This window comes from Homo sapiens, chromosome 14 (genome assembly GCF_000001405.40).
Source record: "Homo sapiens chromosome 14, GRCh38.p14 Primary Assembly".
Taxonomy (NCBI): domain Eukaryota; kingdom Metazoa; phylum Chordata; class Mammalia; order Primates; family Hominidae; genus Homo; species Homo sapiens.
The window spans coordinates 67773438-67797978 of record NC_000014.9 but is presented as its reverse complement, the minus strand read 5'-3'; the positions used below and the strand labels follow the sequence as shown (position 1 = coordinate 67797978).

The following is a 24541-nucleotide window of genomic DNA, read 5'->3' as shown; positions in this document are numbered from 1 at the left end:
GGAGAGGGAGAAAGATCCCAGGAATATGGGAGAGAGCTAGGAGTACATAGGAGTCACCCCATAACTCAGGGCATATCGTCACCATGGCAACCAGTGTCAGAACACTGGGGTATGCTCCATGTCTCAGAGCCCAGTGCAAACCTTCCCCAACCTGTTATGCCAAGAAAGGGCCAAATCAAAGTTGATCACTCTCCTTTCTGTCCCATTGGGTTTGCTCTTTCAGAGGAGCAACCTTCCCGAAGATACCAGCCTGCCACACGTCACCCCAGTCTCCGCCGGGGTCGTCGGACAAGAAGGAGCCAGGCAGGTAATCTGAAGAGCTCATTCCCATGCACTAGGCAAGTGGTGTAATGCTGCTTGTCTAATACTCTTTAAGAAACAGCACATGGTCAAAAACAACAAAAGCGTTGTAAAATTATCCTATTCCCACTCCCTCAAGGTAACCCTTGTTAATAGTTTCCTATGTATCCTTTCAGAAATTTTCCATGCAATATAAACATGTATATCCTTTTATATATATACACATGCATTATACTATATATTGAGAACTGCAGCTTGCTTTTTTCATTTATATCCTTTTATATATACAGATGTATTATACTATAAATTGAGAACTTTTTTCACTTACCATTTTAAATACTGCTTAGTATTCCATTGTCAGAAACACCCTGTTCATGGACATTTAAGTTTCCAGTTGTTTACCATTATAAACAGTGCTGTAGTAAAAAACCTTGTACATGTCTGTGCATACTTGTGTAAATACAGGATAAGCTCCTAGCAGCAGAATTACTAGGTCAGATCTATATGGGTATCATATATAGATATTACCCAGTTGCCTTAAAAATAAGGTAGACCAATATGGATTTCTTTTTTTCTATAGGGATTAATATTAAGTATTCATTGTATGCCAGATGCTGCTCTACATTCCTTATATTTATAATTGTTAACTTATTTAATCCTCACAATACTATGAAGTAGGTCTTATTATTTTTCCCGTTTTATTTTTATTTCCTTTTTTCTTCTTTTTGAGATGGAGTCTCACTCTGTTGCCCAGGCTGGAGTGCAGTGGTGCAATCTCAGCTCAATGCAACCTCTGCCTCCTGGGTTCAAGCAATTCTTGTGCCTCAGCCTCCTGAGTAGCTGGGATTACAGGTGCGTGCTACCATGCCCGGCTAATGTTTGTATTTTTAGTAGAGACGGGGTTTTGCCATGTTGGCCAGGCTGATCTTGAACTCCTGACCTGAAGTGATCTGCCTGCCTCAGCTTCCCAAAGTGCTGGAATTACAGGCGTGAGTCACCGGGCCCGGCCTCCCTTTTATTTTTAGTTGGCATATAATAATTGTACATATTTAAGGGATACACAGTGATATTTCAATATGTTTATAAAATGTGTAATGACCAAATTGGAGTAATATCTATCACCTCAAACATTTGTCATTTCTTTGTGTTGTGAACATTCAAAATCCTTTCTTCGGCCTGGCACGGTGGCTCACACCTGTAATCCCAGCATTCTGGGAGGCTGAGGCAGATGGATCACTTGAGGTAAGGAGTTCAAGACCAGCCTGGCTAACATAGTAAAACCCTGTCTCTACTAAAAATATGAAAGTTAGCTCGGTGTAGTGGTGGGTGCCCAGCTCGGGAGCCTGAGGCACGAGAATCACTTGAACCTGGGAGGCAGAGGTTGGGGTGAGCTGAGATTGTGCCACTGGACTCTAGCCTGGGTGACAGAGTGAGAATCCATCTCAAAAAAAAAAAAAATCCTTTCTTCTAGCTTTTTGAGAATATATAATAGATTATAGTTAACCATATTCATCCTGCAGTGCTACAGAACAGCAGAACTGATCCCTCCATCCAGCTCTGATTTTATATTCATTAATCACCCTCTCCCCATCCTTCTCTCCCTCCTATTATTTATAGTTCTGCAAGCTGTATGTGATTGCCTGTTTGCACATACTCTCATCAGTCAATAGTATTAGATTTTTTAAAACCTTCACCAATATATTTAATAGTGATGTTTCATTGCTTCAGTAGTATTTTTTTTAGTTTGAGATTGAATATCTTTTCACATATTTATTGACTGTTTATATTTTTCTGTAAACTGCCTAATGTCTAAGGTCCATTTTTCTCTTAGGAATCTCTTTTATCTTCAATTTTAGAAAGCTCTTTATACATTACAGAAAATATTTTCTCATCATGTGCTATTATTTTTTTCTCTATTTTGCCTTTTGATTCCACTTATAGGCTTTTCTTAGAGAAGTTAATATAGGCGCATTATGCAGGAGTATTAAATTTTTAGAGAATCAAGTTTTCATTATGGCTTTTGGTGTTGATCTTTTAAAAATTAAAAGGAATTCATGAGGATTTCCCATGGGCTAAACAATACTAGGTATCTTGAGGGAGGTAAATGAGGCACAAGCTAGGCTTTTGACTTCGAACAATTTGTAATGTACCTGCTTAGATAGTATACATGGAAAGTTTAAAGTGACCTGCGACCCTGCCTGAAAACAGAAGAAATGTCTTAAAAGAGGATATCAGCATGACCTGCAGATGTCAGGGCAACAGATTTCATGAAGGAGTTGACTCTTGAACCAAGCTCCAGAGAATGAGTAGGCTCTAGCTAAGTGGCAACATGAAAGGTGAGCATACTGGGTGGGGCGGAGGATGCCGTGAGAGAAAGCTTCAAGGTTGCGTTGCTAAGTCCCTTAAGCTGCTACATTAATTGTTTTGGGTCAGAAGGCAGAGTTTGCATCCACTTGACCCATTCAGCACAAGAATGCACAACCCATCATCTCTTCTACGGCTGTTCCTTCTAAAGGGCTTCCAAACAGTGAACTGAGGTGCCTCCCTTGCATGAGGCTGAGACAGCCCCTCGAATGACCAGGCTAAGGAATAGCGAGCCTCTGTTAGAAAGCTCTAACATGTTAGGAAGCCTGGTGTTGAGAAGAGAGAAGCTTTTTCTCTGAGACTTTGAATATCATGGTCTTTGGCCAGCCAGGTCTTAGACTTTGGTTCCCTACATTTTTTTTAATACAGATAGGGTCTTGCTCTGTCACCCAGGCTGAAGTGCAGTGGCACAATCATAGCTCACTGTAACCTTGAACTCCTGGGCTCAAACAATCCTTCCTGCCGCAACCTCCTGGGTAGCTGGGACTACAGGTGCATGCCACCTTGCCCAACTAATTTGTTTTTAATTTTTTGTGTAGACGGGGTCTTGCAGTGTTGCCCAGGCTGGTCTCAAACTCCTGGCCTCAAGCTATCCTGCTACAACGGCCTCCCAACGTGCTGGGATTACAGGTGTAAGCCACTGCACCCAGCCAGTTGTCTGCCTTTTCAAGTATGAAGATACCTTTTTCTATGTCAGGAAATACTGTGTCCCTACCACTCCCTGGTCATAACAGTTGTGCTTTTATTTTTTCAGAATACTGCCAGTGCTTACTGAGCAGGTGCTGATCACTGACCCCTAAAAATAACTTGAAAGTTCTTGGGGCTCTGAGACCCACAGGTTGGGAACCACTGGTATAGGCTATTACCCAGGTGAACTCTGTTGCCATATTCAGCCCACCCTTTGCCTTTGGTCTATAGGAGCTTGTGTTTTGCTGTAGAAGGAGCAGCAGGTGTCATAGTTATTCATTATCCTCTGTCTCTAACTACACAGATCTTGGCTGTCAAGCCAACTTCACACTTCCTACTCTATAAGGAGCTGATAATTGACTTTCTCTCTTCTTCCCAATACCTGTAGATGGCCGAGACAGAGGTTCAAACCCATCCCTGGAAAGTACAAGTAGTGAGCTGAGCACAAGTACGTCAGGTATGCAGATTTCCACCAGTTGCCAACTTTGAGCAGCTTTGCCCTGATATAGAGTTGCCATACACCATGGTGTAAAGCCAGGATTGAGCAGTCAAGGTTGTTATTCAAGGTTGGCAGATGGCCAGATTTTAGCTGGGAGAAGGGAAAGGACTGTTTCATTCTCAATTTAGTTATCCAGCAACAGAGAGAAATAGAGGTAAATACCCAAAGAAGGTAGTTGGCACTTAGCATCTTCTATTCAAAGATGGTAGCATAGGTTTGCCCTTCATTTGAGGAAAAATTAAGACCTATTTACAGGCCTTTTACAGAAGGACATTGAGGAGATAAAAGTTTGGTGGGAGGTGGCAGCAATATAGCATTTCCTTAATTCCTCTTGCTTCTCTGGCCCCACACATTCTTGTGTCCCAACAGAGGGAAGTCTGAGTGCCATGTCTGGCCGGAATGAGCTGCACAGTAGATTGCACCCCCATCCTCAAAGTTCACTCATCCCCATGATGTTCTCCCCACCTGAGTCACTGCTGGCATCCTGCATCCTTCGCGGGAACTTCGCAGAAGCCCATCAGGTGAGGGGAGGCCATACCTTTTCAGCCCCTGAATGACTTAGCATCAGGTAAGGCTCGGAGCATGTACAACCAGAGCCACCTGGGAGCACTCAGGGGTCCACATCAAGCAGAAGAAGCAGAAGCAAGAGGGGGTTTCCATGTGCCCAGGCCCAGTCTTCAGCAGGGTGGATTGAAAGATAGTGAATTGTTTGTGGTTCTTAACATAAGCAGTGTTTTTAAAAGGTGAAAGAAAATATTCAGCCACACTCCCACCACTTAAAAGCATGGAAACTTTTGTTTCTCTCCTTGACTCCTTCTCTGAACATATACATGGGTTTTTGTTTGTTTGCTTGTTTGTTTGTTTGTTTGTTTGAGACAGAGTCTTGCTCTGTTGCCCAGGCTGGAGTGCTGTGGCACGATTTCTGCTCACTGCACCCTCCACCTCCCAGGTTCAAACGATTCTCCTGCCTAAGCCTCCCAAGCAGCTGGGATTACAGGTGCCCACCACACCAGGCTAATTTTTGTATTTTTAGTAGAGACAGGGTTTTGCCATGTTGGCCAGGCTGGTCTCGAACTCCTGACCTCAAGTGATCTACCTGCCTCAGCCTCCCAAAATGCTGGGATTACAGGCATGAGCCACCACACCCAGCCCATGTTTTTATCTAGTTAAAAATTATAATACAATTTCCTTTTCTTTTTTTTTTTTTTTTTTTTTGAGACAGATTTGCTTTTGTCACCCAGGCTGCTGGAGTGCAGTGGCGCGATCCCAGCTCACTGCAACCTCCACCTCCCATGTTCAACCGATTCTCCTGCCTCAGCCTCCCGAGTAGTTAGGATTACAGGCATGCACCACCATATCTGGCTAATTTTTGTATTTTTAGTAGAGATGAGGTTTTGCGATGTTTGTCAGGCTGGTCTCAAACTCCTGACCTCAGGAGATCCACCCGCCTCGGCATCCCAAAATGCTGGGATTACAGGCATGAGCCATTGCGCCCAGTCTCAATTATAAATAGAATGCCAGTTCAATATACAAGAAGTATGGAGAGCTAGCAGACTAGAATATTTGTATTGTAGAGAGAAAATAGCACTGGAATGGTAATCAGAAAGACTGAACCTCTCTGAGCTTTGGTTTCCTCATTTGAAAATTGGAGTTAAATGTAATACCTGGTTTTTCTACCTCATAGGAATGTTAAGAGGATTATGTTCTAGCCGTGAGAAATATAAAAATCCTCTACTATTGATTAAACTTAATAACAAGTTATTAAACTTAATAACATAAAATAGTACTCTTCTAATTTTTAAAACCCTCTTGGCATATTAATGATACTTTTACTGGTAGTAAAGTATTTGGTAGTTTATCTACGTAACATGTAGGTCAGAATTGTTCTTTCATGTGAGTTCAGTTTTTGAGGAATAAATCTAGGGAACTCTAGGTAACAGGACAATTTTTACTTAACCTTCTCTGATCATTTTAGATCTTATACTTTAATGATAATTATAATTATGATCCTTGGAGGAGGATAGGACCCTCCCCAGCCCCAGCCTTTCTTTTTCTTTTTTTTTTTTTTTGAAGCAGAGTCTCACTTTCTCACCCAGGCTGGAGTGCAGTGGCTCGATCTCGGCTCACTGCAGTCTTTGCCTCCTGGGATCAAGCGATTCTCCTGCCTCAGCCTCCTGAGTAGCTGGGACTACAGGTGCACACCACCACTCCTGGCTAATTTTTATATTTTTAATAGAGACGGGGTTTCACCATGTTGGCCAGGCTGGTTTTGAACTCCTGACCTCAAATGATCCACCCTCCTTGGCCTCCTGAAGTGCTGGGATTACAGGCACGAGCCACCACGCCAGCCCCTCCCCAGCCTTTCTAATACTCAAATCCAGAGGAATTTAGCTAGGAGTCCCATGATATTTTACCCCTAAATGTCCTCCACTTCTCCTCCTTTTCTTGAGCCGTGGTCTTTTTTTTTTTTTTCAATAAAAACTTTTATTTTTTGACCTGGATACAGACAGAATAAGTTGTACATATACGACAATATCAGAAAGTATTAACAAGAAAATAAAATTACTTTTAACCCTATAGTATGGAACAACCAATATTAAAAATTTATTTTTTTGGCCAATATTTCTCCAAAATATGTATGACTTTTATATAGCTGAGATTATTTCAAATCTAAAACTTTATATCATGCATTTTTACATTTTAATATTAGCATTTGTCTTTTAACCTTGATTTTAGTGACCTTACAATAGTCTGATCAAGTAGCTGCATTTAACCATTTTCCTGTTGCTCAAGATTTAGATTATTTTTAACCTTGTAATAGTTGTAATATATAGTGCCAAGGTGATTACGTTTAGGCATTAAGCCTTTTGAATTATTTTTTTAAGAAAGTTCCTCATAAAAACTACTGAGTCAAAAGATGTAAACATTTTTAAAGCTTTATGGATTGCCAAATTGCTTTTCAAAAAAGTTGTGACACTTAATGTTACACCATCTCCTGAGGATTTATTTTTGTGCTTTGTTATTGTGATAGATGCAAAATGTTATTGTTACTTAAATTCCTAGATTACTGACAAGGGAAAAAATATTTTCTCATTTATATATTAGTCATATATATTTCCTCTGAAATTGTCCACATCTTTTGCCTATTTTCTACTGAGGCTTTGGTGGTTTTCTTACTTTTATGAATTATTTTTTATAGTTGACCTGCTCTTCTAACATTCAGTGCTCTTCTGACCCTACAAAGCACAAAGACATCTTAGGGCCACAGTCTAATGGTTGGCAAGATCTCCTATCCATGGACATTCCCTAAATCAGTGGGACCACCAGGGCCCACACACTCCCTCTCCTATGACAGGTGCTGTTCACGTTCAACCTGAAGTCCTCACCCAGTTCAGGGGAACTGATGTTCATGGAGCGCTACCAGGAAGTGATCCAAGAACTGGCCCAAGTAGAGCACAAGATTGAAAACCAGAACTCAGATGCGGGTAGCAGCACCATTCGGAGAACTGGCAGTGGCCGCTCAACTCTACAGGCCATTGGCAGCGCTGCAGCAGCAGGTCAGGCTTCCCTGCTAACACCATAAGTGGTGAGGTGGCTGGGAGAGGGGGTAAAAGGGGAGAAACCACTAAAATCCTAGGCTCCTCATGAGGGTGAGCAGAAATTAAATACAGGACACCTGCCTTGAAAAACAGCAAACCTGATACGTCCAGTTTTCCAGCTGTGCCCATCCTCCTTGCCCAGGCTGTTCAGATACCACCACTCAACCTACTGCATAAAGCTTATCCTGTGTGATTTAAATGAAGCCTGTGAATGCTGTTTTTAACCTGTGTTTTGATGGCCACTGTCTCTGGCTTCAGGAAATGGTTAGGAGTTTATTTCCTTCCCATGTAATTACTCAGGGATAAAGCATATTGTTTTACTGTTCTATAAAGTGCAGTTGGGTATTAAAATTTAAGGCCTAGAATTCACAGGTCTCAGTTTCCCAACCTTGGATGCACTGCAAAAGAGCCCATCCTTTCATTACTTCTTGAAGTTGGAATCTTGTTCCACATTTTCACAACTCTTACTGGCCTAGGCCCTACATACCATGGTACCATCACATATTGCTTCCTATATATTATCCCAGAAATTTTCTATGCCTATTCACAAGAACATACACACATCCTTTCTGTTTTTAATATAAATAGGTTCTTAGGACAATACTATAGTCTACCTTGCTTTTTAGTGATGCGTTCTAGAGATCTTTTCTGATTAGCACACACAGATCTACGTCATTCTTTCTGAACCTACTTTGAGATTCCGTTTGGAAAAAGCCCTCCCTCATCTGGACCACTCTGAGTCTCTTGGTCTTCCTTTCATGCCACTGTTTTGAAGCTATAAGAGTGGGCCATAATGATAGTGCTAATATACATGAAAGATACCCTGTGCAGATGAACCTCAAACATTTTGAAAGTAACTACTTTACCTAATAAAAGTTGTAGTAAGAATCCTTTTAACCCTTTGCTTTTTATTCCTCTGCTGGGCGGCCAGGAATGGTGTTTTACTCTATCTCTGACGTGACTGACAAGCTGCTCAACACCTCTGGAGACCCCATCCCCATGCTCCAGGAGGACTTTTGGATAAGCACGGCTCTAGTGGAGCCCACTGCTCCCCTGAGAGAGGTTCTGGAAGACCTCAGTCCCCCTGCCATGGCTGCATTTGACCTAGCTTGCTCTCAGTGCCAGCTCTGGAAAACCTGCAAGCAGCTTTTGGAGACAGCCGAACGGCGTTTGAATAGTAGCCTTGAAAGGCGGGGTGAGTGTGCTGTGTTAGCTGTATCCCTTCATTCTCAAATGAGATGGGTTTCTGAGAGTCTTGATAAATTGTCCAGGAAGAAAGCAGTTATTGGAGGAGGCAGATGGTGAATGGATTATGAAATTTTGTCACATACAATCTGATGGCATAAATACAGTCTGTTGAGAGACAAAATAGACATAGCAATTTGGGGAAATTCTTTATTGAATTATAGGTGAATTCAAAGAAGAAATATACATTTTAAAATGGTATCAATGGAATTCGAGCCTTAAGACTCCATGCCTTTCTCCTTGGTGAACTTCACTTAACCTAAAACCTGAGACCATCTTGAATTTGTAAGCCAGGTGTAAGGGAAAACTTAATGAGTCACAGTTGGAGGGATGATCATACCTTGAGGTGAATAACAGTGCAGAATGTGCATACAGAATTCTTAGAGAAATCAGGTATGTGAAGGCATCAGTATATGAAGGTAGAATTAGGCAACGTTCTACTCCCCACACCTGTCCTTGCTACTTGCACCAAACATTGGAAGGACTGAGCAGTGGAGGAGAAAGGAACCTGTTCTGCCTTAGTAATATAGAGGGAGGAGTGGTGAATAGGTTATGATATGAGTAGCCCCATGTGTCTGGGGTCCCCAAGTCCACCCCCAGGTTCAGTGATTCTCTAGGAGAACTCTCAAGAATCAGCTTATCGTCATAGAGCTAAGATTTATTTCAGCAAATGGATACAAAGAAAAATCAGCAAAGTAAAAAGGCTCATAGGATAAAATCTGGAGGAAACCAGGTGCAAGCTTCCAAGAGTCCTCTCCCTGTGGCTACACAGGGCATGCCTATGCCTATTTCTCCAGCAATGAGTTGTGCCAGCAGTTGCAAGGTGTTGTATATAGGGAAGCTCATTAGAGACTCAAGGCCCAAGGTTTGTTTGTTTGTTTGTGTTTTTGAGATAGAATCTCGCTCTGTCCCCCAGGCTGGAGTGCAGTGGCACAGTCTCGGCTCACTGCTCACTGCAACTTCCACCTCCCGGGTTCAAGCGATTCTCCTGCCTCAGCCTCCCAAGTAACTGGGATTACAGGCACGTGCCACCACGCCCGGCTAATTTTTGTATATTTAATAGAGACTGGGTTTCACCATGTTGGTCAGGCTGATCTCGAACTCCTGACGTAATGATCCGCCTGCCTCAGCCTCCCAAAGTGCTGGGATTATAGGCGTGAGCCACCGCACCCAACCACCCACGGTTTTTTTTTTTCGAGGACTGGTGACAAAAACACCCTCTGCTTAACATGTAGCAAATTCCAGATTCCTAAAAGGAAAGCAGGTGTTCAGCATAAACCACATTGTACAAAGAGTTTAGGGCCAGTGAGCCACTGTTATTATTTAGGGAAAGTACGTAAGCATAGGAAACTTCTTACCAGTCAAGTCCACAGTGCCAGCCAAGGGCCAACCTTGCAAGCAGATGTTCTAAGGATAGCAGTGTCAAGCCTGCTGTTTAACTCTTTTCTATACACCCCTCCAAATCACCTCTGAGCTGTTGGTTAAAATGTCCTTTAATGTTTACATAGTCCCTATAGTCCTTCAAAGAAAGTACACAGTGGCTTATACAATGCTGTTTGTGTCCAGTGATCTGCTCTTCCCCTCATCTAATACTTATATCCTAAAATAAAATATTATTCAAGCTCTTAATCACTGAAACAGTTTCAGGTCAATCAATGAGGAATTTGTGTGTGTGTGTGGGTGCATAGTCGGTGTATGTATTTATGGAGTATATGAGATTTTTTGGTACAGGCACACAATGCTTAACAATCACATCATGGAAAATTGAGTATCCATCCCCTCAAGCATTTATCCTTTGTGTTACAAACAAGCTAGTTAGACTCTTTTAGTTATTGTTAAATGTGCAATTGAATTATTATTCACTGTAGCCCCCATGTTATGCTATTAAATACTAGGCCTTATTCCTTGTTTCTAACTTTTTTTTTTTCTGAGACAGAGTCTCACTCTGTCACCCAGGCTGGAGTGCAGTGGCGCCATCTCGGCTCACTGCAGCCTTTGACTCCTGGGTTCAGGTGATTCTCCTGTCTCAGCCCTCCCCCACAACCCCGCAGTAGCTAGAATGACAGGTGTGTGCCACCACGCCCAGCTAATTTTTGTATCTTTAGTAGAGAAGGGGTTTCACCATCCACCCACCTCAGCCTCCCAAAGTGCTGGGATTACAGGTGTGAGCCACCACACCCGGCCTCTAACTATTTTTTATACTCATTAACCATCTCCATCTTCCCCCACCCCTTACTACCTTCCCAGCCTCTGGTAACCATCCTTCTATTCTCTATCTCCATGAATTCAGTTATTTTGATTTTTGGATCCCACACATAAGTGAGAACATGTGGTGTTTGTCTTTCTGTGCCTGGCTTATTTCACTTAACATAATGATCTTCAGTTCTATCCAAGTTGTTGCTAATGATTGGATCTCATTCTTTTCCATAACTGTATAGTACTCCATTGTGTATATGTATCACATTTTCTTTATCCATTCATCCACTGATGGACACTGAGGTTGCTTCAAAATCTTGGCTATTGTGAAGAGTGCTGCAAGAAACATGGGAGTGCAAATATCTCTTCAATATACTGATTTAGGAATTAATTTAGTGACTACTGTGTTTCCAGATTATCCTGAGCATATGGGAGTATAGGAGAGATGTAAGGAATAATCTGTGTCCATAAAGTTGTTCATAGTCTAGTTGGAGTGTCAAGATACCACTTAAAGCAATTAAAGAAGACATATGATCTCCGCTCAAGTTGAGTACAACTGAAGGCAGTACCAAGGCAAATCTATTTGGCTTGGGACAACAATTCCATAGGAGTGCCAGAGATTCTGAATCTGCTGATGTTGTTGACAGCTGAGGCATCTTGCCAGAGTCAGTCCTAGAATCTCAGGCATGAAATAAGCCAAGTATACTGGTTGTCACCCAAAATGGCACAGCATGTATTTCCTCCTTAATATTGGAGAGGATAAAATTTCACAGGTAAATACAGGACTGAGTGTCAATCTCTGAAAACACTTCAATTTTTTTTTTTTGCATTCCCTCTTCCTTCATCTATTTCCAGGTCGACGGATAGACCACGTACTCCTAAATGCTGATGGCATTCGAGGTTTTCCAGTTGTTCTTCAGCAAATCAGTAAGAGTCTCAATTATCTGCTTATGTCAGCCAGTCAAACCAAATCAGGTGAGTTGCTTTTTTCTCTTTTCTTCTCCTGGACTTGGAACATTAGGTCAGCAACAGACTTTACTTTTTCTTTCTCATTTGCTTTCCATAGAGAGTGTGGAAGAAAAGGGAGGAGGCCCTCCACGGTGCAGCATCACTGAACTGCTTCAGATGTGCTGGCCCAGCCTAAGCGAGGACTGTGTTGCCAGCCACACCACCCTCTCCCAGCAGCTAGATCAGGTCCTTCAGTCACTGAGAGAGGCACTAGAGCTGCCAGGTATAAGGCTGTCTGCTTGGGAACAAATAAAAGCTGAACTGGGGAGAGGAAACAGCTGAGAGTAACGAAGCACTTTGGAGCAGAGGCTTGGGACTCCAGAACTGGGATCTATCAGCCCTTTAGTTAGCCAGGGCATGTCTCAATGTCTCGTAACTTAACTTCACCTGTTTTCCCACCTCTCAATTGAAAGAATGGTGAACACTCCATCAGCTGATACATTTTCTCATGATGAATAAGAAATACAGCCAGCAGGTGCTTAGTAAATATTGATGAACCCTTCCCCAAAAGATTGCTGTGTTCTTCATAAAGTTGTTCCACCCCAGAGACAAGGATAAAAATAGAACTATACACACCAGAGTAATTTTATACACTCCAGACTCAAAGCTTTCCCTGGCTGGGAATCACTTGTCCAAGTGACTGACTTAGGATTTTATATTTGCCTTGTAAGTGTAGTGTCCAGGCCATCAGATGCCCCAGGCAGTGTATAGGGGGCACAGTTCACATATCCAGTCAGAAATTGACCCAAAGCTGGACTCACAGACTGAAGCCTGTGTCCTTTCTCCTGCCATCCTCCTCTCAGAGCCCAGGACTCCTCCACTGTCTTCCCTGGTGGAGCAGGCAGCCCAGAAAGCTCCAGAGGCAGAGGCCCACCCTGTGCAGATCCAGACTCAGCTCCTCCAGAAGAACCTGGGCAAACAGACCCCATCAGGCAGCAGGCAGATGGACTACTTGGGCACCTTCTTCAGTTACTGCAGCACCCTTGCTGCAGTTCTCCTTCAAAGTTTGAGCTCTGAGCCTGGTAGGTAGCAAGAAAGAGGCAATAGATTCATGGCAGACCTGCAAGTGTTCAGGGCAAGGAAGAGAAAAGATGCACAATTGAAAGGCTCTGGATACAGCAGTAGCCAAGAACACTAGATTTATAAGGTTGTCCTCTCTTATTCATCTCTGGCTATTTTACTCATCTTTGTGCTAGTATAGCTGTATAGCACATGGGAGTACTCAATTAATTTTCTTGGAATTAGCGACTCAAAAATATCTCTGTCAGACCTGTGGTCCATTGTGAATTTGAGCACCCAGCAGAGGAATCAAGTCTCTGATATGAGTACCAGATTCTTAAGTCCACAGAGTGAGTACTACATGCACTTCAGTCGGGTTGAAGAGAGCAGGAGTTGGCTGTCCGTGGCTAGATCTGCCCACTGAAGTTCGTCTGGGGTTGGAAGTCTTTAGAGCAGTGGTAAGATATAGATAAAACTTGTGGTCAGGTTCATGTTGAGAATACCCTTTACCTAGAATGAATTAACAGAAGGCTCTCCATATTGTCTTCATCTTGACACTGTACTTTTTTCTCAATTCTGGGAAACAGGGCTCTGAACTCTTGCAGTCAGTGGTGCAAACAAAGATCATGTTCTTTACCTTTGCAGATCATGTGGAGGTCAAGGTAGGAAATCCCTTTGTTCTGCTGCAACAGAGCTCTTCCCAACTGGTGTCACATCTCCTGTTTGAGAGACAAGTTCCCCCAGAGAGGTAGGAGCCACCTCCATGCAAGTCAGCCATGGGCCTTCGGATGATTTCATCAATATAGCCAAGGGCTCAGTGCGGTGGTGCTTGGGGTTAGCACAGAGAGTGGGGATTTCTTCCTGACTGAATTTTTTATTCTTATATAACTGAAAATTTAATGTGCCTTGTTTCCTGCTTTCTCTCTCGATACCTTTAGCATGTATATTGTTAAGTATGAAATCAGTGGGTGACTCTGCACTTTATAAATAGGCAAAAATCTAAAAATTCAATAACATGATAGTTGATTAGACTGTAGGAAAACAGCATTCTCAGAGAATGCAAGTGGGACATAAATTTGTACAGCCTCTGTCGGAAGGCAGTTTGTCAATATTTATTAAAATTGCAAATTCATATGCCCTTTGATTTAGCAAACCATTTTGGATAATTTATCCTACAGCTTTATTATACATAAATGATTTATATGCAAAATCATTTCATTGCAATCTTGTATATAGTACCAACAGATCAGAAAATTCATTGTCCACTAACAGGAGCCTAGTTATTGTTCATCTATATAATGGAATACTATGTAACTGCAAAAACTAAAGAGGGTCCTCTCTGTAGAGGGATATGGATAGATCTCGCAGAAGTGTTCGTGAAAACATAAAGGGCAGAGCGATATGTCTAATAGGCTACTTTTTGTGTTTTAAAAAAAGAGTGTGACAATTAGGAACTTTTATTTACATTTGCTCATGTAAGCATAAAGAAATTGTAAGACTGGTTAATGGTGCCTGTGTATTCAGGCCTTGTATGCTTTCTGCTTCTCTCCTTCCAGACTGGCAGCCCTTCTGGCCCAAGAGAATCTCAGCCTAAGTGTGCCACAGGTCATCGTCAGCTGCTGCTGTGAGCCCCTTGCTCTTTGCTCATCCCGGCAAAGCCAGCAGACCTCCTCCCTCCTGACTCGTCTGGGTACTCTGGCCCAGCTACACGCCTCTCACTGCCTGGATGACCTCCCACTTTCTACACCGAGCTCCCCGAGGACAACTGAGAACCCTACATTGGAAAGAAAGCCCTACTCCTCCCCAAGGGACTCATCACTCCCAGCCCTCACCTCCTCTGCCTTGGCCTTTCTTAAGTCACGCTCAAAGCTCCTAGCTACGGTGGCCTGCCTGGGGGCTTCCCCGAGGTTAAAGGTCAGCAAACCCAGCTTGTCATGGAAGGAACTTCGTGGCCGCAGGGAGGTGCCTCTGGCTGCAGAGCAGGTAGCCCGGGAGTGTGAGCGCCTTCTGGAACAATTCCCTCTGTTTGAGGCCTTCCTCCTGGCTGCCTGGGAGCCCCTGCGAGGGTCTTTGCAGCAGGGGCAGAGTCTGGCAGTGAATCTCTGTGGTTGGGCCAGTCTTTCTACCGTTCTCCTGGGCCTACATTCTCCCATTGCCCTAGATGTACTGAGTGAGGCTTTTGAGGAATCCTTGGTGGCCAGAGATTGGTCCCGGGCCCTTCAGCTCACTGAAGTGTACGGGCGAGATGTGGACGATTTGAGCAGCATAAAGGATGCAGTCCTGAGCTGTGCTGTGGCATGTGGTGAGCAGAATGCTATGCCTCCCTTTTTCACTAGTGGTAATATTTGGTATTCACTGGGTATATTATCACATTTAATCCTCACGGTAACTCTAGAGAGAAGCCCCACTATAATCTCATGTTATTAAGAGGAGACCAGGTCTCAGAGGGGTTAGGAAACTTGCCCAGGGTGGTAAGTGGTAGAGTAGAGCTTAGAACCCAAGTCCATCTGACTTTAAACAGCCACGCATAACCAGTATTCTCAATACTGTATATCACAATTCTTGTGAAATTCTACAGACTACAAATGTTTGGGTCCCTTCCCCAGAGGCCCAGGATAGAGCTCAGGCAAGTGTTTACTTTAAAATAGGGATCAGCACATTTTTTCTATAAAGGACTTTGTAAGCCACAGTCTCGCTCGTAACTACCCAGCCCCTCCAGTACAGCATGAAAGCAGCCAGAGTCAATATATAAAGAAATGAGCATGGCTACAGTCTAATAAAACTGTATTATAAAAGCAGATTGTGGGTCTGTTTGATGACCACTGCTTTGAAAGCTCCCCAGGAAATTCTGACGTGTAACCAGAGTGGAAAGCCAATGAGCTGTAACACTACTAGGATTTCCTAGCAGTGTTGCAACAAGAGTTGGGTGTGATGTAGGGAATGACTTTTGGGTAGGAGGCTTGGCTCCCTTTGGAAAGGAGAAAATCCATCCTTGAAAAGGTGGAGAAATCCACTGACTGGCTGTGTGTTCTTAATTGCTTGGAGTCTGTTTTTTGTATCTCCAAGATCAGATCTGTGAAATGGGTGTGGAAGAGAGAGATCTAAGTCAGGGAGTGAAACTAGTCTACCTGGAATAACTTTCAAGTGGTTATGTATGGCACAGGGTGGAAATTACAGGGAAAAGGAAAGTTTCACTGACAAGGTGAGTCTGAAACAGTCCTATATGTTCAGCATGCCAAAACATGGAGAGCTTCATCTCTTCTGTCCTTCCTTCATTCCTTCCTTCCTTTCTCTTTTCCCTCTCTTCCTTCTGAAAGTCTCATGGCTATTATCAGGTTTACCTAAAGATACACATAGGGTAGAGATACAGCATTTTCCTTGTCATATAATGGTTCCAAGTGTAAAAACTAGTTAAGATCACATCCATCTTAAGGATCCTCCAAGCTCCTCTTTTACGAGATTGAAGAAAGCCCTTTCTCAAGAAGTAACCTGGACTCTTGAACTCTTCTGGTCCCACGCTTGCTGCCTCTGAGCATCTTTTTTGTCTTATAGACAAAGAAGGTTGGCAATACCTGTTTCCCGTGAAGGATGCATCTCTGAGAAGTCGGCTGGCCCTACAGTTTGTGGACAGGTGGCCCCTGGAGTCATGCCTGGAGATTCTGGCCTACTGCATTTCAGACACGGCTGTCCAAGAAGGACTAAAGTGTGAGCTACAGAGGAAGCTGGCGGAGCTGCAGGTGTATCAGAAGGTATGGGCCCTCGCATCAAGAGAAAGGGAACGGGCTTCTCACTCTATGATCAACCCCAACCTATCTTATATGATGGGGGACTTTAAGAAAGAGAAAATATAGGTCTGGGTTTTGCTTTGCATCTGGCTTCAGTTCTTAGGTGAACAGCAGGGAGGCCTCCTAGCTGGTTGCTGTGTTACTTATTCCTATAATTTTAAATACATTTGCATGAAGTGAGGGTAAAAATAACAAAATTAACATTGGAATGGTGTATTACAGTCCAAAAAGGCTTTTTCACATGTCTTTTTGAGCTTTGTGTATATTTTTGTATATTGTGTCTTCTATAAAGTTTGTTTTAAATTTCAGCAACATTTCAAGAGCTATTTTGAAAAGATATATGAAGGTGACAATTTCAAAACTAAAAGATTCTTGTGGGATATTTGTTATGTTCAAGCTCAAGAGGCTTAGGGAGACAAATTTAGGAAGCACGGCTACATAACAACTATAAAATAGATGCTAATTTTCCAACATATCCTTGGAGCAGACAGAGTCCAGAAACCCTACCAGGGGTAGTGAAAATGACAGGTGAAAAAAGGTTTCTTTTTATTCTTCCTTGGCAGTTTTCATGCAGAGCTAAAATGTTGTATGAAAGGTGATCCCACAGAGCATTCAAGCCAGAAGAATATCTTGGGTGGAGTTTGGGGTAGAGGAGCATGGGACAGGTGACCCCAGAACAATCTGGGAAGCATGAGAGCACTGTCTTCACTAGTGAAAGGCCCCAGTCCTGGCCTCCATATTCAGCCTTCACTCCCTGCTTGTTCTTCCTGGATAGGTTCACTCTGCTCTCTAAATAATCTTTGCCCAATTTGCTCTCTTTTCTGGCAAGTTCTGACAGCCTGACTTTGGGGCAGAGATCTAGGGATGGCCCATCTGTGGACATGCCCAGTGACTTGTTCATGGAGGGAGAAGCTGCAGTGTGGTTTGACGGATTTTCTTGTCTTTCCTTAGATTCTGGGTTTGCAGTCTCCCCCAGTGTGGTGTGACTGGCAGACCTTGAGGAGCTGTTGTGTTGAGGACCCATCAACTGTCATGAACATGATTCTAGAAGCACAGGTACCGTTTTCCTGGGTGGTGTTCCCCTTCATCCTCCTTTCAGAGTTACAACCCCTTAGCTGGCTGTATAAGCCCCTTTCTGCATATCAATGTTCACTTTTTAAAAAAATAACTATACCACATTCTGGCCGAGGCGGGCGGCTCACAAGGTCAGGAGATCGAGACCACGGTGAAACCCCGTCTCTACTAAAAATACAAAAAATTAGCTAGGCGTGGTGGCGGGTACCTGTAGTCCCAGCTACTCCAGAGGCTGAGGTAGGAGAATGGCGTGAACCCAGGAGGCGGAGCTTGCAGTGAGCCGAGATCGCACCACTGCACTCTAGCCTGGACGACAGAGCGAGACTCTGTCTCAAAAAATAAAATAAAATAACTATACCACATTCTTTTTTATTGTGAAATTTGCCAAAATCCAGATAAGTATAGAGACTAATACAATTGACTCTTTTGTATTATCATCCTGTGTTCATACCTGAGATTTTCTACATTGTGTACGTTAGGTACAGAATGTATTTCTCGAAGTGGAATTGCTGGGTCATTGGTCATGAGTGTCCTCACCTTTGCTAGAATATTACCAACTCACACTTCAAAACACTCACCCCAGTTACACTCCCACTCGCAGTTCCCATTATTCCATAACCATGTCACCTTTTTATTTATCTTTATTTTTATTATTATTTTTGAGATGGAGTCTTGCTATTTCACCCAGGCTGGAGTGCAATGGCGCAATCTTGGCTCACTGCAACCTCCGCCTCCCGGGTTCAGATGATTCTCCTGCCTCAGGCTCCCAAGTAGCTTGGATTACAGGCAGCCACCACGCCCAGCTAATTTTTTTGTATTTTTAATAGAGACAGAGTTTTGCCATGTTGGCCAGGCTGGTTTTGAACTCCTGACCTCAAGTGATCTGCCCACCTTGGCCTCCCAAGGTGCTGGGATTACAGGCATGAGCTACAGCACCTGGCCCCTTGTTACCTTTTTATATTGTCCAACTTTTCATTGTTTGCAATAAGATGGTATCTCATTGTTGTTTTAATTTACATGATAACTAATAAATTTGAATATCTGTTCATGTGTTTATTAGATTTCTGAGTGGTAAGTAGGATTTTGTCTACCTTTTAAGAAGCTGACTGTGTAGATGCTCATTGAAATGTTCGTTCATTCAGGAAGTACTTATTGCATGCCTATTATTTGCCAATCACTGTGGTAGATGGTGGTGAAACAAAAATTATTAAGCTGTACTTGCCCTGGAGTGGCTCACATTTTGGAGAGAGGGTGATGTAAGATGCATCCCTAGGTGACTGCAACATAATATACAAATGACAGAAGTAAGCTCAGATTGTGGGAGCACAGGCAGGGCACCTAACATAGCCTGAGAAACAAGGAAGCATCCTGAAGAAGGCAGTCCTAGGCAGGGTTGTGGGGAGGACATTCCAGACACCACCATGTGGGAATATTTGAACAAAGCCCTAGGAATTCTATTCTCTCAAACTTCATCTACAGTTCACAAATTGGGGTTGGGGGGTAGTGAGGGGGAACATGGGTAGAATCCAACCACCAACATGTTTATTTGGCCTTTGTAGTATTGGTCTACAGAATTTTTATTTTTTCATATTGACTTTATTGCCAAAATTTTAAAATACAGAAATTTTATGATTTTAAAAAAGTTTTGTAACTTTAAAGTCTGACAACATTGGGCCTGCCCATTCTTATAGCATGGGTGACTATGTCCTTTAAACAGTCTTTTCAGTCTTTCCCACTTCCTTAGAATCTTCCCAGGGTTGACACCAAGTGTCTGTTGCCACATGTCATCTGCTTTTTTTTATGGTAGTGCTAAGAGGAAAGTGATATGAACAGTAAGCCTGCTTCAATCATTTTCATCATAGTGAAGTTCCCATCAGCACTTATAAACATTCCTGGGGCTTTGTAGACTCAAGACTGCTGAGAAGAATCAGGCAGTCATGTAAAGGGGTTGAAGGCATGTGTGTTTCCTTCCAGGAGTATGAACTGTGTGAAGAGTGGGGCTGCCTGTACCCCATTCCAAGAGAACATTTAATCAGCCTTCATCAAAAGCATCTTCTCCACCTTCTAGAAAGAAGAGATCATGACAAGGCTCTGCAAGTAAGCCCCCAGTTCTTTCCATTTTTCTTCTGGGGTGGGACAAGAAGTTTAGTCAAATCAGATGGCTTTATTTTCATGTTGAATCCCATGCAATCTCAGCTATGCCTCTTCTGATCTTTCAGGAGCTGGTTATAGTCATCTTGAGCAGAAGGGGCCTAGCCTTGCATTAGGTGCCAGATGGGGCGGCTGGGTCCAGAATTCTGCTGAATTCTGGTCCTGTCAAAGCCATGGCATTTGGGAAACTACAGAGGTGGTTAAAAAAAAAAAGGAGTATAGAGAAAGGGTTAGTCCAAAATGAGTAAACCTAAATATTCTATTCTCAAACAAAACAAAGCTGGTCTAAGAGCTCTTCTGCAGGCCACACCTTCCTCCTCTACCCTTTGACAATAGCTCCTGCGAAGAATCCCTGACCCCACCATGTGCCTTGAAGTGACAGAGCAATCCCTCGACCAGCACACTAGCTTGGCCACTTCTCACTTCTTGGCCAACTACCTCACCACCCACTTCTATGGACAACTGACTGCTGTCCGACACCGTGAAATCCAGGCGCTGTATGTGGGATCCAAGGTAAGGATACACCGTGAAATCCAGGCGCTGTATGTGGGATCCAAGGTAAGGAGGAAAAGGAGGTGTTGGGAAGGCATACCTGAGGGAGAGACTGCGAGCCTAGCTCTTCTTCAGAACTTGCCTTTTCAATGGCTCTTTTGCCAGGCACCTGCCATCCCTGGCCTGTGCTATATGAAATCTTTACCCTAGAAGCCCTCTGTATCCTAGTTGAGTCTCCTAGGACTTGTCATTCTCTTCCTGTCCTGCCTCCATAGGGAATTCTACCTGGTCCTCTTAAGTTGCCTTTATGGTTTCCATGGTATCTGCTGTATCAATGCTTCTCAATGCTGACAATATATTAGAATCACCTGGACTTAAGAAAAAAATACCAGGTTATTCACCTCTACCCCAGATCAAGTAAAACTGGTCTTGGGATAGGGACTGGACATCTTCCAAAGGGCTTCTGATGTAAGGATTTAAAACGACTGCTTGATAAACTTGTCTGTGCTAGTGGAAGAGGGTTAGTTGTCTATGTAATTAGGTGAGATAAGTTCTTACCTTTGATGTATAACTTTGGAGACATTAATAGAAGAAACCTCCAGCTAGAAAAAGTAATCCAGTGAAGCAGAGTTTGAAGAGAGCTAGGGCCCTCTGGCATTCTTCTAATTATTCTGCCTGACAGTCCTATATACTACCCCACAAATAGAACGAGTGCTAAGAGAGCCATAAATATAACCACTGGCCCACTTACTAAGAGTTGAACTACATAACATGTTCCTTAAGAAGATACACCCAATGTGCTGTAGCTGAGTAGGGGAACCCTTGAAAACTGGCAGTGAACAGGGTCAGTGAACATATTTCAAGCCTAGTGATCGTGACTTCTAAGGAGAACTTAGATTCATCGTTTACCTGTAGGACATAGGAGGTGCCAGGTTTCATTAGACTACTGACACTACCTTGTATTTCTCATTCTGAGTAAAGCCTCAAATAAACAGAATGGTGGCATTAAGGGTCAGGGAGACCTCAATCATACCTGGAGGGTCCAGGCCAGGCGTGAGCAGGCTACCACCTGTGGGCCAAATCCAGTCCCCAGCCTGCATTTGTAAAGCAAGTGTTATTGGAACACACGTGCAACTATCATTTTACCTATGGCTGCTTTCAAGGTACATGTGCAGAGCTGAATGTTTGAGACAGACATTATGGACCATGAAGCCTGAAATAGTTACTCTCTGATCCTTTATAGGAAAAGTTTACTAACCCCTCATCTGGTGAAGGTACTTGGAGTACTTCTCAATTACCATCTGCAGAATTTAGTGGGGAGCTCAGCCTTCCTAAAAGACTGCGAGTCTGTTTCAGTAGCTGGCTATGCACCTTTTGTTCTCATGCACCCTTCCCCTTCCCAGTGAGAATCTTGAGTTTTTTCTGAAATTTGTGTACTATTTTCTTTACTCTATGGATCTACCCCACAAACAGATTCTGCTGACCCTGCCTGAGCAGCACCGGGCCAGCTATTCCCACTTGTCCTCTAACCCCCTGTTCATGCTGGAGCAGCTGCTTATGAACATGAAGGTGGATTGGGCCACTGTGGCTGTGCAGACTCTCCAGCAGCTGCTGGTTGGACAGGAGATTGGCTTCACTATGGACGAGGTGGACTCACTGCTTTCCAGATACGCAGAGAAAGCCCTGGACTTTCCATACCCTCAGAGGGAGAAACGATCAGGTAACTGCTAGCATCCTAGAAGGGGATTCTACATGGAGGAAGAAATGCCATGCTGCATTCTTAGTTTTAATTTGCTCCCCTTTTAATATTTTGGGTTGATCTAGAGTGAATGAATACACTTCAGAAGAGCTATCTCTTTATTATATAGGAGAGATCTTGGTCTTGGAGGAAGTAGAATAATGACCAGAATTAAAAGGTGGTAGATAACCACTGCATGCACATAATAACATAAAGGTTTGGAAAGCAAAATATGCTGGAAATGGTCTCTGTCTGGCCTTGATATAGCGGGCTCTTCAGTGCCATCATTTGGTATTGAGAGTATGCCTTATTCCCAGGATCACATCGGATATCACTTGTATGTGAGCTGACTCAGCCTCTTCTACATTGAAGAAACTGAAATAAGTATGGACTGATGTTCCCAGCCAGCTCTTTTTTCTTACTCCCTACTCTCCAGGGGCATCATTTCAACGTCTTCCACTTCCCTCTGGGCATTTTTTGATTTATTTTGTAGAATCCTAGTGTCCATTTCATTATCTCACATGCCTAAACATGGTTTGTTTTTCGAGGCGTTTAAGAAACATGCGTGCTATGGGCTTAGAGGTACCTCCTCCATTCTCTTAATACCTAGTAGAGTCATGGAATGACAATCAGAGAAGCCAACAGAGCTTTGTTCTAAATGCCTAGGGTGGTGAATCAAGATACTTATGGTAGAACCATATTTTGTCAGCATTTTCCCTCTCTACAGATTCTGTGATTCACCTCCAAGAAATTGTCCACCAGGCTGCAGATCCCGAGACCCTCCCTAGATCACCATCAGCAGAGTTCTCTCCTGCTGCTCCTCCTGGTAAGAACTGGCTCTGATGATTCACTAAAATTTTTCAGTTTAGTCTTGCCTTATTCTATCCTTCAGAATTTTTTTTTTTTTTTTGCTTCTTTTTTTCATTGCCAGTTACAACATTATTAATTGTTTATCTTGGTTCATTCCAGATTTATATATATCTCAAAAGATTCAACATACAGTCAACTATTGTTATTTGTGGCAGTATGTCTATAAAGTCTCCACACTGAACCAGCAAATCCAGAACTCTTGTTCCTAAGGGAAATGTGTACATGTATACACGTATCTCACATAGTTGGTAATCTTAAATCCTAAAAACAACTCTTCCTAGACGATTCTATTCTATTTCCTTTTTTCTACAAAGGAGATTCAGAAGTGTTAAGTGACTTGCCTCAGGCCACCCCCACTAACAGGTCCCAGAATTGGGATTCAAATCCCATTCAACTAGCCCCAGCACTGAGCTTCTGGCACTACCCCGCACTGTCCGCTACCATCCCCATCTTCTGGTCACTGTTTTTTTTTTGAGACGGAGTCTTGCTCTGTTGCTCAGGGTGGAGTGCAGTGGCACGATCACGGCTCACTGCAACCTCCGCCTCCTGGATTCAAGCAATTCTTCTGCCTAAGCCTCCCGAGTAGCTGGGATTAAAGGCGTGTGCCACCACACCCAGCTAATTTTTGTGTTTTTAGTAGAGATGGGGTTTCACCATGTTGGCCAAACTGGTCTCGAACCACAGGTGATCCACCTGCCTTGGCCTTCCAAAATGCTGGGATTATAGGCATGAGCCACCACACCCAGCCAGGTCACTGTTATATAGAGGTTGAAACAACCTCAGTTGGGAATTTGAGTGTTGAGTATTGGGTGACTCAAAACTTTCATGACCGCATGTGTTTGCAAATGACCACAAAAGCAAGATGAGTATTGTTTTTGAGGTTACAAATGTTAACAAACAAGCAACTTTACAAATATGCAATCTAGTATTAATGAGCCTTGACCGTACTTAGCCCTCAAGTTCATACTGTCACACACAAAGCACAAGCTCCTTGAAGCCCTCAGCCATGTCTTGGTCACCCTTTTCACCAGTCCCCTGGTCTCCAGCCCCCACACAATGGCCTACTCTCGAAAGAAGCTCAGCCAAGTGTTTTGTTTTGCCAAATGGTCAAAGGAGCAGGATTCTAAGGTCTCTTCTTCTGAGTGCTACTAAGAGTCACTATGTTTTACATCTCTCTTTTTCTGTGACCAGCCAGTGTTGCTCTGCTAAATGGTAAGAAATCTCTTTACATATCATAAAGCAGACTGTGGCATTTTCTGGCCATACTTTGAGAATTAGCCATGCTTCATGGTAACCAGCCGAGCTGAGGGGAGGGCTCAGCCTTGCAAGTATATGAGCAGCTTCATGCATCTGTATAAATGGCAGCCTGAGCATAAATGGCAGCCTGAGCAGCTTTGGGGTGTGTGTGTGTGTGTGTGCGCCTTTTTTTTTTTTTTTGGAGACAGGATCTCACTCTGTTGCCCAGGCTAGAGTGCAGTGGTGCCATCAGAGCTCACTGCAGGTCAGTTCCTCCTGCCCCAGCTTCCCAAGTAGC

General features: G+C 43.3%; 1 protein-coding gene across 5 annotated transcripts in view; it reads left to right on the top strand.

Moving 5' to 3' along the window:
• Window positions 1-24541, top strand: part of ZFYVE26 (zinc finger FYVE-type containing 26) — an 87699-nt gene that overhangs the window by 18612 nt on the left and 44546 nt on the right. For 2 of the 5 annotated variants that reach the window (XM_047431173.1, NM_015346.4), the window contains exons 12-27: window positions 224-307; window positions 3740-3808; window positions 4220-4371; window positions 7206-7407; window positions 8381-8644; window positions 11746-11865; window positions 11957-12121; window positions 12702-12920; window positions 13543-13645; window positions 14454-15199; window positions 16450-16646; window positions 17634-17738; window positions 19731-19853; window positions 20244-20420; window positions 21873-22119; window positions 22865-22963. In XM_047431173.1, the coding sequence (XP_047287129.1) occupies window positions 224-307; window positions 3740-3808; window positions 4220-4371; window positions 7206-7407; window positions 8381-8644; window positions 11746-11865; window positions 11957-12121; window positions 12702-12920; window positions 13543-13645; window positions 14454-15199; window positions 16450-16646; window positions 17634-17738; window positions 19731-19853; window positions 20244-20420; window positions 21873-22119; window positions 22865-22963 (3072 nt within the window). Of the gene's footprint in view, window positions 1-223; window positions 308-1521; window positions 1543-2458; window positions 2637-3739; window positions 3809-4219; window positions 4372-7205; window positions 7408-8380; window positions 8645-11745; window positions 11866-11956; window positions 12122-12701; window positions 12921-13542; window positions 13646-14453; window positions 15200-16449; window positions 16647-17633; window positions 17739-19730; window positions 19854-20243; window positions 20421-21855; window positions 22120-22864; window positions 22964-24541 lie in introns of those variants that run through there. The other 3 variants (XM_047431175.1, XM_047431174.1, XM_011536609.3) reach the window with 3 other exon arrangements.